Below are 14,237 nucleotides of genomic sequence, written 5' to 3' on the forward strand. Positions count from 1 at the left end.
GAAAGAAATGACCTAAAATCTCACCATCCCCTCTAGTGATTTGCTCCCTTGTAGTTTTTTTCTCAGATATGCCTGTAACTTTTATAGAGTCTGGTTTTATTTTGTTTTTATGCTAATTTAAAGTGTTAGATCAAAAGTCTAGACACTGTGTGGGTAAAGTGGTCTGGGTGGTAATGAAAGGGGTGTAATGTGGACAGCATGGGTGAGGAGATACAGCATACATCACTGCGCAGCCCAGGCATTAGGTAAAGAATTGGATGGAGGAAATAAATTCTCTTATAGCTCTGACCACCAGCTCCACCCCCCTTTTTTAGAGAAATTAATCTTTATGATTAAATGGGGGCGTTGCTATTGAGAGCAATATTCTTAATATCTTACAGCAGCCTGTTTTTTCTGAGTCATCAGTACAATTTCCCTGAGCTTGTTAGTTTTTGCATGTTTGCCTCATAACAGGCAGCTGCATTTTGGGTTGATTATTTGCATTTTAAAAAATAGGCTGCTCACACTGCATTAAATTTTTATAGCTACTGTGTTCATTGATCAGATCACTCTGTTAGCGGTTACTATTCCAGCTGTATATTTTAATTACACTTGAACAATCAGGCTTTCTTAGTACTTGAATAATTTGCTGAGTTTACTTTTTCCCTTTGTCTAATTCTGACTTAAATTATTTCATTAATGTTGGCAGTCCTGTATTACACACCCTTCCTGGTCTTTTTAAGTCAATTTCCTGGGGTTTTAATTATGTAGAACAGTCAATAAAAGTTGATGCCAACAAAAAAACTATTGAGGCAAACGATCATGAAGGATATATGCCCACAAGATATATTTTATTAACGAACATCCTTGACATTTATGCCAAAACATTAATTAATTCATACCATACCGTATGAGAATGGTCAGCGATTTTATTTTTCATTTAGCTAATGACAAACTGCGGCACAGAGAAACCAGGCAAACTATTGAAAGCTGCACAGCAAGACAGAGGAAAATGATTAGGTATTTCTAGATCAAAGAAATGTTAAAACAAATGAGTTACTTGAAAGCAATCATAATATATTAGACTCTAGTGAAAACACTGACTTCTGGTAACCACATATTTTGTTTTCATATTCAAGAAATTGTAGAAGAAAGGGGCCTAAGCATCTAGTTCAGACGTATTATACTATCTGACTGTGGGCTACATTTGACTCACAGAACTGTCTTCTGGGGTCCACACCATTTTAAATTTTAAATTTGAATTTGAAAGCCTTTAAAAGGGACCTGAACTCTCCAGCTGCTCACCCCTGCTTATGGTCTTGTATTTGGCCTGCTTTACACATATTTGTTACCTTCCTGATTCTACCAGGCACTTGAGTTTGCTATACCTGATTGTTGTTCACTACCCTTTCTTTTAGCTAGAAAACTGAGATCCAGAGGGCTGAAGTTGGAAGATACCCATAAAATTACTCATAGCGATCAGTCTAGAACCTTAATTTCATGGATCCAATCCAGTATATTTTCCATAACACCGAGCAGCCTCTCTAAATTTCCTTCAGAGAATTCAAGCAAGACAGGTATTTCATTACCTCTTTTTGGATTATGGAAATAAGGCCTTTCAGCTGTAATATAGATACACAGAGCACATCAGCAGTTTCCCAATGCTTAAAAAGCATGTTAGCTTGGTGTGGCATAGAGAATGTTAGCTTCGAGTCAAAAGACACAGTTCCAGTCTCAGCTGTGTCACTAACTAGAGGCTATTTGACTCCACAGGCTTTAGTTTCCTAAGGGTGTTAGAGTAGATGAGCTCTAAGTTCCTTTTCAGACCTAGGATTCTATGATTCTTTCATGAACTCCAATAAAAGCATACACAGGAGGAAGAGACAGACAAACCATCCCACTAAAACGCCACTGGGCCAGGCAGTCTGTTTTCTTCTGGGAGCACTTTTGAAACTAAGTTTTACCATCCTCACTCAACTTTTCACTAGGATAGAAAATTCAGAACTATATTCTGTATTAGTCTGTTTTCATGCTTCTGATAAAGACATACCTGAGACTGGGTAATTTATAAGAAAAAGAGGTTTAATGGACTCACAGTTCCATGTGGCTGGGGAGGCCTCATAACCATGGTAGAAGGTGAAAGGCCCATCCTCACATGCAGCAGACAAGAGAAGAGGGCTTGTGCAGGGAAACTCCCCGTTATAAAACCATCTGATCTTGTGAGACTTATTCACTATCACGAGAACAGCATGGGAAAGACCTGCCCCCATGACTCAATTACTTCCCACTGGGTCCCTCCCAACAATACATGGGAATTAAAGATGAGATTTGGGTGGGGCACAGCCAAACCATATCATATATCATCTAGGGAAGTACTTATTAGTAAATATGTATATTAGTACTTAAAAGGTCTCTGGAAGAAACTAAATGGATAACCGAGGGGTCTTCAGATTCTTTGATCCCTTTGAGGAGGGTATTCCTAAACTATGGACTGTCATTTTAACTATATCATGAGTTCCTTGAGTAAAAGGGTTTGTTTTTATTTACCTTTGTTTTCTGGGTGCTTAGGACATCCTCTGGTATATAGCAGGTGTTCAATAAATATTTAATGAATTTCAACATGCAGAGGAGGACCATGGAATCTTAGTGCTGGGAGGGGCCTCAGAAATCAAATTCAGCCTCCTTGCCAATGCAGAAATTCTCTGTACAGTACCCTAGGAGGATGCTCACCAGCTGCACCAGTTTACTTGGCCATTTATTCCATGAGTATTCATCCAGTGTCCCCTATGTACTAGGAATGATTTTGGGATGCAGTAGTGAATCAAGGAGATATGGTCTCTATACTAAGAAGCCTGCTGCTTCTTCCTGAACATTACCAGTGACTGGGATACATAAACTATGTGGACAGATCTGCATTCCACCAATGGCCAACTCTTGGCACTAATGATCTTCCTCTGGGAAAGAAACCCTTATAAGGCGATACTAGTATTGGTTCTTGCATGTGTCCCCGCAGATTGTTTTAAGACCTTCAGTATTTCTGAGCCTGTCTGCATTTATGAGAGGATGCCATCTGTCTGTCATCCAGACTTCGTCTTGAGCTCAGTCTCAGCCACCATTTAAAATCTCTTAAACTACTAGGATGTGGGAACTTATCTGTGCTAATGACCACCTACCTTCAGGCCAACTAGGGTCATGCTTGGTCCTGGGAATGGGGGAAGGAGATGACACTCTGCCTGATCAGCCAGTAAAATCAACAGTGGCCTGCCATGTTTGGAAAGATTGCCTTGTGGCCTGACTTCCCATAAAGTTTTCTTGCCCAGGTGACAGAGGCAGTTCAGTCTTTTCTCCAAAGCCTCAATATGTACGTGGTTCAAAACTTATTTTTCGAAATATGAATTAAGAAAATCTGAGTGAGCATGGATGGGAAGCAATATTGCTGGAGGACAGGCTGGGCCTCAACACAAAGTTATGAAACATGCCCTGTTTCAGGAATGCTCTGTTCAAAATCTTCAGTTGCCACATGTATCCCCTGCAAATGCTTATTGAGCCAAATAAGCTCATTAGCATGGCAGCCTCTATTCTCAGTGGTTTGCTTATGACTTGCCTTTCTAACTTCACCTCCTATTAGTTCCCCTCATAGATATTTTGTTTAGTTAAACTGAGCCTCTCACTATTTACTTAAGCATCCTCTATATTTTCTTCCTTCTAGTTTTTGCTTAGGTTTTTCTTTCATTTTAGAATTCCCTTCCCTCTACCTAGAAGACTCTACCCTCCAATCTGTGCATGCCAAAAGCCTACTCATCATTTAAGGTCCATGAAGTATTCCTTAATTCATGATGGTTCTTCCTCTCCCTCAACTTCCTCCCTAGCTGGAAGTATTTTCCCTCTATTTCAAGCTTCTTTAGAACTTGAAGTATGCTTCTCTTCCAGTATCTGTTTTAAATAGAATATAATTATAATAGCCATTAAATGGTAATTACATCAGGTTAAGCTCTTTCAAAACAGTGTCCTTGTCTGATATCTTTGAGTTTTCTACAGGTCAAGCTGAGTGTTTTGCATTCAACAATATTGAATAAATTGAATCATTTACTCTCAGAAGATGCCAAAGAGGTACAAATATCTAAACATAACCATTAAAAATGGAGTCACTATATAGGCTGGTCTCAACACTATATAACATTAAAAAAAAAAAAAAGACACCTGTTTGGAATTCTGAGCCTGTTTAGAGTTCTAAAAAACTTGAACAAGCAACTTTCATCTTTAAAAACGTAGTCTTTCCAAAATATAGCAAAACAAATAAGCAAATGAAATACAAACAAAGCTGAACAGAAAGGATTTACAGTCACAGTATATTCTCAACCTGTTAAAAATCATCTTTTCCCCCTGCCTCTTTAAAAATGTCTCAAAGGCGTCCTCTATCTCTGCCTGAGCACCCCACAATCTCCTACCCTCAGCTTTTGCAGGTTCCCCGGGCTCCCTAGTGCCTTCTCTCTGCTCTTGCCAGTAGAAACTCAACTATTCTTTTTGGTTTTTCCAGTTTTCCCCTCATCAGTGCCCCCATCAGGGTCACAAAAGCATACCAGTTGGGGGATCTTGGTAAGCCAGAATTCCTCTGGGTGGATGTAAGTCAGGGATTTTGTGGGTAACCCCCTTCTCCACTTATAGAAGCTGTTATGGTGCATTTAAATTCACTAAAGACAGCCTGAAATGGGTGTTCCGCTGAGGATTTCTGAGACAGGGAATTGCCATTACTTCCTAACTAAAAAAGAGCATGTAAGAGCTTGCTCTGGGGTTAGTTCCTGACAGCCTCTTTTTGAGTTGGGCCTTTGGACCAAACAACCTCCAACCAAGGCCTGTGGGACAGTGGTCAGCTAAGAGGAAGCCGGCCTTGCTGCTGGTTGGCAGACATCGACTCCCAAGCCACACATGAGAGTGTGAAGAGCCGGCACCTTCAAAACCATTTGTTACCCTCGATGACAGGAGGCTGCCCCTTCCCGGGGTATGAGTTGACAGTAAGCATTTTTCAGCTTGTGCTTTCAGAATGTACCTAGTGTGGTATTTTTTATTCCAATGCTGCTTGACTTGCTTCATTTGCTTTTATGACAGTGCTTGGGTACGATTAAATGACAATTTAATGCATATAATAACTCATTGAAAGTTTTAGCGAGGGCTTGAATGAAGGTGATGGGGCTTGAGCACATTTTTGAGCAGACTCTACAGTGTAAGCCTAAGCTAGGGGGTAACTTAGGGAGATTTCTTACCTTAGAACAGCTTGAATTTCTACACCTTTCTCTTTAATTCAGCAATTTTTTCATGGCATTTAGTCCTGTATCTCAGTTGTGTAAGAAGGAACACAGGGGGTTTTGGGCTTAATCCCTGCCTCCTGTTCTTTTATATCTTCTCGTGATTCATAAGACATCTGAAAATTATCTTTGGTCACTGAAGTTCCTCTTAGCCCCAGGCTCTACGAACCAGGAACAGTTTGGAGGGCTTTGAGGTTTAGGACACAAAGGCTCCAGCCTCTTGTTCTTTTCCTGTCAGAACGTGAAGGGAATATACCTTGTCATTTATTTGCCTCATATGTGTCTTCTGAGGATGGTCAGATGATGTTTGGTGACTTATTTTGCCGCCATCCAGTGAGTAGCTGGTGGAGGAGAGGGAGGATGGGAGACAGGTGAGTTTTCTTTCTTCTGCAGGAGATCCCAGCCTGGACCCAGGGACTTGGCAAAAGGGAACAGGCACTGCTATCCCTAAGCCGATGGTGCACTGTCCCCACCAACTGCTGCCTTCTGGGGCTGACTGCTGTGCTTGTGGCCCAGGAAGGGTAGAAAGTGATGGAAATCCTCACCCAAGGGCTATTTCCAGCTTTCGGTATCCTCCTCCAAGTGAAAGTGGGCTGAGTGGGTTGGAGAGTGGCTTTTTCCTAGGACCAAAGCTTTTGGACCTTAAGCTCTTAATAGTCTGCTAATGACCAGAAATTAATTTGAAAATTAAAGTTTTTTTTTCCTTTACCTTTTCAAACTTCGAAATGGCAATTACAGAGCACACCAGTTTTAAAATAGTTTATACGTAACTAACAGTATTTCTCCTTAGGCCCAGAGCTCAGCTTGCTAGGAACCTAGGGCGCCTGCTCCCCAGGAGGAAGAATTGCCTAAACTTCAGCACAGACTGAAGCAAAACTGCTGAAATTTGAGAGCCACTGCTTTTCACTCTAGATGTCCTTAATCCTGATTCCAGGAACCTTGAGTTGTCTGCCCCTAGAAGACATTTTTAGATTCCTTGACTCTTCTTAGCTGCTTTGTACTGGAGGGTGTCTAAGCTGTGCCAAACTGGCACGGACAGAAATGGCCCAGTTTCTAGAAATGTGACCTATCACGATGTCTTTTTTCCTTTTAAATTATTACGTATTAAAGTTGTGTTTTAATTCTTAAGTTAGTCCTGGGTGTCATTTTGGGGAAAAATAGCTTTCTTTCTCTTTCATAACTATCTCTTGCCTCCAGACCAATCAGTAATCCCAGTGTAATGACTTTAGCTTGACCACCAGTCTCTGCTTTATTGCCAAGCAGAGTCTTGCAAAAAGGACAGAAAGTCAGGTTTCAGCAGCTCATTTCCTTCTTCTCTGAGAGGCATCTGAGCAGAAGTATCTTAGCACAGCTGACTGTGAAGGGGCTGTTGAGAGAGGCTGAGTGGAGTGTGAGTGGGCAAAGAAAACAAAGCTTGGAGTCTCTTACTGGGGAAACCTTTCGAATCCAACTGGAAATACATGTCTGAATTACAGAAGCTTTTGTTTTATTTGTTTTGCTTTTTCTTATATAAAGAGGCAGTTAGTTTCTACAAAGCACAACAATCGTGTTTTGGAATGTCATATTTGACATTCATTTGGTTTGTGTTTCAATGCTTATTTTCAAAACAGGTTCAAGAGATCTATTCTACAGCATGATGACTGTAGTTAATGACAATATATTGTATTCTTAAAAAACACTAAGAGAGTGGAATGTTGTGTTCTCAACACAAAAATGATAACTATGTAAGGTAATGCATTTGGTAACTAGCTAGATTTAACCATTCCACAATGTATACATACTTCAAAACATGATGTACATGATAAAAATCATACCTACGATTTTATATGTCAAAAAATAAAAAAGAATGGATTAAAGACAGACTTATTTTGAAATGTAAAAGAAAATTGTGAGAGAACAGAAACACAGAAAAAAGCAACCAAACAAACAAAAAAAACACAACAAAATAGGGGCAAAGAGAGTGGTTTGAACATTCTGAGAATAACAGGGTAGCCAGAGCAACAGTGGGGATGCCACGTAATAGGGCAATCAGAGGGAGAGCTGAAATCACAACCTCTCATTTATCCACTGGTAATAATGCCCCCAGAATTACAGGGTGTTTTACTGGAAAGAACATTTGTTTCTATAGAACAGGACTAGATTTGAAAATGCATTTTGGGTTAGCAACCCCATTTCCCCCTGATGGGGGGATAAGGGACGTGAATACCACTTTTGCACTCACTGGCTGATCGTGTGTGTATGTGTGCACCTACATGTGTGGTGGAGGGATGGGAGGGATGGGAGAAGGCCATGCAGGAGGAACGTGAGAAATAAGAAGGAACATAAATATTCTCCCAGTCCTTTGGAAAATGCTTTTGTTTCTGATTTTTACCCTTGGTGCCCAATCCAAGCAGGAGTGAGGAAAGAGAAATGGGCACTGAGTGGGAGAATGATGAAAAAGATGGAGGACCAAGGGGTGCATTTACTCTTTGTCTTTATCACTAGCATCTAATATTTGCCTCTGAAGGCTAAATTTCAATTCTTTAAAAAATATTCAACCTTGTAATCCCAGCACTTTGGGAGGCCGAGGCGGGTGGATCATGAGGTCAGGAGATCGAGACCATCCTGGCTAACAAGGTGAAACCCCGTCTCTACTAAAAATACAAAAAATTAGCCGGGCGCGGTGGCGGGCGCCTGTAGTCCCAGCTACTCGGGAGGCTGAGGCAGGAGAATGGCGTGAACCCGGGAAGCGGAGCTTGCAGTGAGCCGAGATTGCGCCACTGCAGTCCGCAGTCCGACCTGGGCGACAGAGCGAGACTCCGTCTCAAAAAAAAAAAAAAAAAAAAAAAAAAAAAAAAAAAAAAAAAAAAAAAAAAATATTCAACTTAATTTTAACTTTTATCTTAGAGGACTCAGCTGTACGCCACATATTTAATCTAATCAAGATTGCGCTCAGCACTGCTTTCAGTCCTTGCTGAGAGCTCTATTGAGTCATTTATTAACTCGATGACTTAAATGGAATTCACAGGCCAGACACAAATCTAAGAGAGAGGAGGAGGCTAGGCTCAGGAAGGAAAGGGGAAGAGAGTTGGCTTATTTCACCTTGGTAATAGAAGGCCCTGGACAATATAACAATGGTCTCGAGACCCAGGAATGTTTGTTATGAAAAGGATGGAGACCACTGTTTGCCATCAGTATAGAGTGGACAAATAGTTCATTGTTTTATTTTGTTGAATTTTAACAGTCCCTTAGAGGCTGCTCCTGATCAAGGAGAGCTTGCCATTTGGGGGATGTGTCTCTTTGTTCCAGTGGAAGCCTCTGAAGACAGGACGTCCCCTTCACTACTTGCTGCAGTAGCAATACCTTGCCTGCTCACTGATGAATGGCTTGAATGCTCAACCTAGCCATTCAGGCCTACCGAACAGGGAGGTGTGTCCCAGAAAACCCGGCCCAGTTCATCTCAGACATGAAAGTGATGCTGGGACTCCAGCTGCTGGCATGTGAGAAGATGTCTGGTTCATACCAGGACAGTACTCAGGTGACTTCTACAGGTCTTATTTTCCTGGTAGTTCTTTTCCAAGCCTGTTACTGCTCCTAACCAGTTGGAGGTGGGCACATCTGTATGTCACACCCTCTGCTTTCCACTTCTGATATCTTCCTCTATTTTTTATGCTCTCCACTGTGTGAAGGAACAAATAGCAAAGACCCCCTTTTCTGTGATAGGTCTATAGCCTTATCACAATCAACATTCTCCCATGCAGCCACAGTAGCCTGTCTGGATTCCAAGGTGAGATGTGATAAACTGGACGTGGTAGCTCCTGAGTCACCCAATCAAACACTGTGGCCCATATAAGTATCTGATTATAGCAGTTACATTCTCAGCATAGCTTTGGGGCCTGTGACCCCCAAAACAGGAGCTGAGGTACTGGATGTTTCTACATTAGTCTGCAGCAGCAGACACATATCCTTCAGTTTCATCTAATCAACTTCTTTTTTAGCCAAGTAAGCTGAGTAGTTGTTTTCAGTTCAGAATGAAATGAGAAATTCACAAACCATTCCCTAAGCTTGGCAGCTGCTTCCTAGATTCCCTCAACAAGGCCCTCAGACCAGGTCTAGGTGAGAAGACTATGGAGATGGGTGGCAGAGTGCAGCTGTCATCTTCTGTGCTGGAGGACAGAGCTACACTACAGTTCAACAGTGAAGAGTAGGGGGTGAAATTTAGCCTGTGTCTCAAGGCAATGTCAGCTTTCAGGAAGTGGTGACTTGTTTTTTTCCCCCAATTTGCAAAAAGACACCGTCTGTTTGCCAAGCCCTGCATGGAGTGACTTTTTCTTTTTTTGCACACAGATCCTATATATTAGTTCCCCCTTATTTGCGGGGAATATGTTCCAAGATCCCCCAATGTATGCCTAAAACCATGAATAGTATTGAACTTCTTATACCTATATAAATTATTATTTCCTGTATATGTGTGTGTATATATGTATGATATCATAAAGTCTAATTTATAAATTAGACACAGTAAGAGAATAGTAATAAAATAGAACAACTACAACAATATATTGTAATAAAAGTTATGTGAATGTGGTCTCTCTCACTCTCTCTCTCAATATTTCAGTATTTTTGGACCGTGATTGACTGTGGGTAACTGAAACTTGCAGAAAGCAAAACCACAGATAAGAGGGGACCGCTACATGCTGCCACCCTTCTGCATCTAGCATGCCATGGGTCCCATTGCACATTGCAGAGCCAGCACAGGGGCTAAAGAAAAGGTTTAAGGCGATCCATTAACTGTCAATCCACCCAGCTTCCCCCAATAGAGTCATCATACTTACCAAGAGCAGTATTCCATTTTTTGAGATCACAAAGAATATTCTAAAGGCCTGCCCCTCCCAGGGGTCACATTATTTCATTAGCAGCAAAGTATTTGACACAGTTGATTACGAAGGAACGTAATCATGTTATGGGATGGCTCAGAGGAAGTAGGACAAGTGGAGGCAGAATGGAGGACTCTCACTTTCCCTTTTTCTTTTGTATGCAGCTCTCGTTGTCTAGTAAAGGGAGGGATGCTGAGTTACGAAGAAAAGTAGAGTAAATTTCAGGGTATTGATACACTCCCACAAAAAGAAATGCAATGTAAAATGTCCCCAAATATAAATGCAAAGCGTGGAGTTTGTCTTTGGGCTGTCTTCAAGAAACGCGCTTAAATCCAATTGCTATGGTTGCACAAGACTCATCTGATCCACAGGCCTTCAGTTCCACAGGGGCTAGAACTGTTTTGTTTTCAAAGGGGAAATGTATCTGTTTGCCCTCCTTTGCTTTGTAAAATTGAATTGCAGAGAACTCATGAATAATAGAAAGAACACTAAGGACTGTGAAATTAACACTGGCACGAAACAGAATTTCTAAAAGGGTAAAGTCTGAAGGAAGTCTCACTTCACCCTCCCCTAGTCAGGGGCTTGGAAACTGGGGCATCTTAGCATGGGAGGGTGGAATAGGTTGTTTAGAGGTCCACTTTGGTTCCTGCTCTTAGAAGGGTGAATATTTTTAAATCCTTTAGGTTGGATTGGTGGTTCTTGTCTAATGAAGATCTTCAAGTGTGGGAACTACGGTGATTTATGACTCCAATGAGAACCATAGATCAAATGATGACATATGCCCATGGGAGCCATCACCTTACTCTTTAATAATAAAGATAGCTAACTTGTATGCACTAACTGTATGCCAGGCACTGTACTTTACACACATTTTCTCGCATAATTTCATAACTACCTAGTGAGGGAGGTAACAATGATCTCCATTTTATAGATGCAGAGACTGAGGTTCAGAAAGCTTAAGTCACACAGCTAGTAAGAGATGGGGCTGGATGCCAACCTAAGCCTGAATGACTATTGATTACCTCTTTAACCAATCACAGCAGCCCTTCATCTTTATGTGTCATCTTAGCCTTTTGTCTGCAAAGCTGTCCTGCAACCTACAGGGAAGGCCTAGTGACCTCTCTTTTTTCTCCTTTCTGCTCCCCACCAGGCAACTCTCTGCCCTGTGGATGCTTTGTGTTCTGGATCTTCTCCAGGTTGTCTTGGGGTCCTATAGAATAAGCCGTGGGGAAAAAGAAGCATCCTACAAAAGTGTACTTTTTGAGACAAATAATGCTGTGGGCTGTTTCAACTCTGAAGTCACCACAGCATATGGGAACGTGCTTAAAAACTGTGAAACACTGCGTAAATGCCCATGGAGTCTGAACTTTGGAATCAGACAGACCTGGGGGTTTCATTCATTCATTCATTCATTCATTCATTCATGTGTGGATTGTTAATTGACCAGCTGCTATGCGCCAAGCACTGTGCTAAATGCTGAGTTTGAATTCCAGATTCACTACTTACAGCTATGGACTTTGGGGGATTTACTCAACCTCTTTAATAAGAAGAATAATAGTTATGTCTGGGCGTTCTAAGCTTAGGAGCTGGCACATAGTAAGAGCTCAATAAATGGTATTGTTAATAAAAGGATAAAAAGTGATGTAGTTGGGCCAGTGCCCGCTTATATTACTTTCCTTTGGGACCATGCTTGCCAAGGTTTCAGCTAGCTCGTGTGCATCACCAGGGCCTGGGAAGTTAATGTGCTAAACTAAGCTATTAGCCTTTGCAAAGGCCTTTTAGAGAGATAATGACTTAGTGCAAAGCAATACCTAATTCTGGGCACTTGGCAGACTCAATGGGAGTCATTTCAGCAAGGGACTTGTGTATCAAACCATCAAAACCCTGGTTGGTTCTTTGCCTTTAGTAACTGCTTTCTTCTGACAGATAAGAAGCTTTCGTGTGTATGATCAAAGGAATAGGTAGTGCTTAGGAAATATGGATACATTTGTTTTAAATAATGAAAGAATTTCCATTTGTCCTTCTAGGTGCTATCTCACCTCTATTTAATGCGTAGTCCACTGATGTTAGCACTTGAGGTTTTTCAGATGTCCTCAATAACACTACTTGGCTAATCTAATGTGATTCAGCTAATGGGTTTTCTATCAGCATTTATGGACCATCTCATCTATCCACTCTCCTGCCAGAGAAGTGTGTATATGCAGCAGGCCCAAGATATCCTCTATTCTAAAGCAGCTAAATCTGTTTGAAGATCAGTGTATAGAATTTTGGTTTCCATTGCATGTTCTTTGAAACAGAACAAAAGCCATTTTCCTTTTTCTCACAAGTTCATAAAAGAGTAAAGAATGAGTCTTGAAATAGTCTACTTTTTAGAGGAAAGCTGTTTTATTTTCCCCACAAAGGCTAGTGGTTACTCATCATAGCTGTTCTAGGATGATTTAAGTTATTAGTAGGAAATAAAGCAAGATCAGAATTAATGCAGGAAGATTAGACTTGATAAAATAATTCCATTGTAAACCTTTTATTCAGAAATGATACAGACTCACAAGACATTGCAAAGGTAGTGCAGAGAGGCTCCCTGTATCGTAAACTGTTTTCCCCCAGTGATGCTATCTTACATACAGTGTTCCACTCCCTGAGACCCCAAAGAATATTCTAAAAGCCTGTTCCTCTCAGGGGCCAGGCCGGAGGTGAGTGCCTTGCTTCTTAGCCACCATTTCTTACCTGGGTTCATGTGGAGGCTTGTTTAGCAACCTCTGCTTACAATTCAATTCTCAGGACAGCAGTCAGAGCATGTCCTCACTTTTCTCCCCAGCAGCCTTCAGTGGCTTCCACCTCACCCAGAGTTCCAGCCAGCCAGAGCTCTGCCCTGGTTGCAATGCTCTTTCTGGCATTCCTTAACTCCTTTTTCTGCTTAATTTTCCATCTTAGTACTTATCCCTATCTCACATACAACATATTTTCTTTTTCTTTTCTTTTCTTTTTTTTTTGAGATGGAGTCTCGCTCTGTTGCCCAGGCTGGAGTGTAGTGGTACCATCTCAGCTCACTGGAACCTCCGCTTCCTGGGTTCAAGTGATTCTCTTGCCTCAGCCTCCCGAGTAGCTGGGACGACAGGTGCATGCCACCATGCCTGGCTAATTTTTGTATTTTTAGCAGAGAGGGGGTTTCACTATGATGGCCAGGCTGGTCTCGAACTCCTGACCTCGTGATCCACCCCTCTTGGCCTCCCAAAGTGCTGGGATTACAGGCGTGAGCCACCGCACCCGGCCCATATTTTCTTATTTAATCATTTATTATGTCTCTAATTTGTCTCTGTCTTGTTCACTGCTGAGTTCTCAGGGCCTAGAAAAGTACCTGGTGTGTAGTTGGCACTCAGTACATACATGCTGAATTCGTTTGACCATGGATGGATTCTTTAGTCTCTAGTTTGTTAAATCTCACTAATCTCACTCTTGGTTGTTAGGATAGAACAACAAAAATTATACCTCACTGTTGTATAGAGACTTAGAGGTTCTCAGAAACTTTTGTACCTAAGCTATTGAAAAGCAAATATTCAAAATATATCCAGAGAGCAGCAAAAGTCTATTTGGGATTCCAAATAAGTCAAAATTTGGAAGTTGCTATAAAGCCAACTGAAAGCAGAAATCTACATCCTAAAAGAAATCTACATATAAATGAAAGGCACATTAAAGACCCAGATCAAAGGACTAAAGGAAGCCCAGGAAAAGAAAGCAATTGGCTTGCAATCTTAGCTCCTTTCCTAAAATTGCCTCTGACCTAGAGGCAATTTTTCTAACCTCTGGGACTCGTTATTTTTTTCTAGAAAGAGATGAAGTTCCCCCCTTTCTTTACCTTATCATATTTTATTGTTTCAGTCATTTGCTTTGAGATCTTTAAGCTGTAGCATGTTATTTGTAATGCGCCAAGGAAGGTACGTTGACTCATTTGAAACTTTCATTATTGTTAAAACTAATGCAGTGAAGTTGAGCCCTCTCCTGGGGCTCCCCTATAGCCACTGCTTGCTATCAGTAAATATTCATAAATCTGCTATCATGGAAATTAGGTAGAATGCCTCAAAATTACTTTGGGGGCATAAGG

General features: G+C 41.3%; 2 annotated features.

Annotated features, from left to right (window-relative positions):
• Positions 12,807-13,354: an enhancer, noted in NCBI's record as "H3K27ac hESC enhancer chr4:58153017-58153564 (GRCh37/hg19 assembly coordinates)". NCBI's record gives its function as "activates a minimal SCP1, AML or CMV promoter by ChIP-STARR-seq in naive H9 embryonic stem cells {active_cell/tissue: H9 hESC(naive)}" and the evidence as "EXISTENCE:reporter gene assay evidence [ECO:0000049][PMID:30033119]".
• Positions 13,355-13,900: an enhancer, noted in NCBI's record as "OCT4-NANOG-H3K27ac hESC enhancer chr4:58153565-58154110 (GRCh37/hg19 assembly coordinates)". NCBI's record gives its function as "activates a minimal SCP1, AML or CMV promoter by ChIP-STARR-seq in naive H9 embryonic stem cells {active_cell/tissue: H9 hESC(naive)}" and the evidence as "EXISTENCE:reporter gene assay evidence [ECO:0000049][PMID:30033119]".

The sequence above is a fragment of the Homo sapiens genome, chromosome 4 (assembly GCF_000001405.40).
Source record: "Homo sapiens chromosome 4, GRCh38.p14 Primary Assembly".
Classification (NCBI taxonomy): domain Eukaryota; kingdom Metazoa; phylum Chordata; class Mammalia; order Primates; family Hominidae; genus Homo; species Homo sapiens.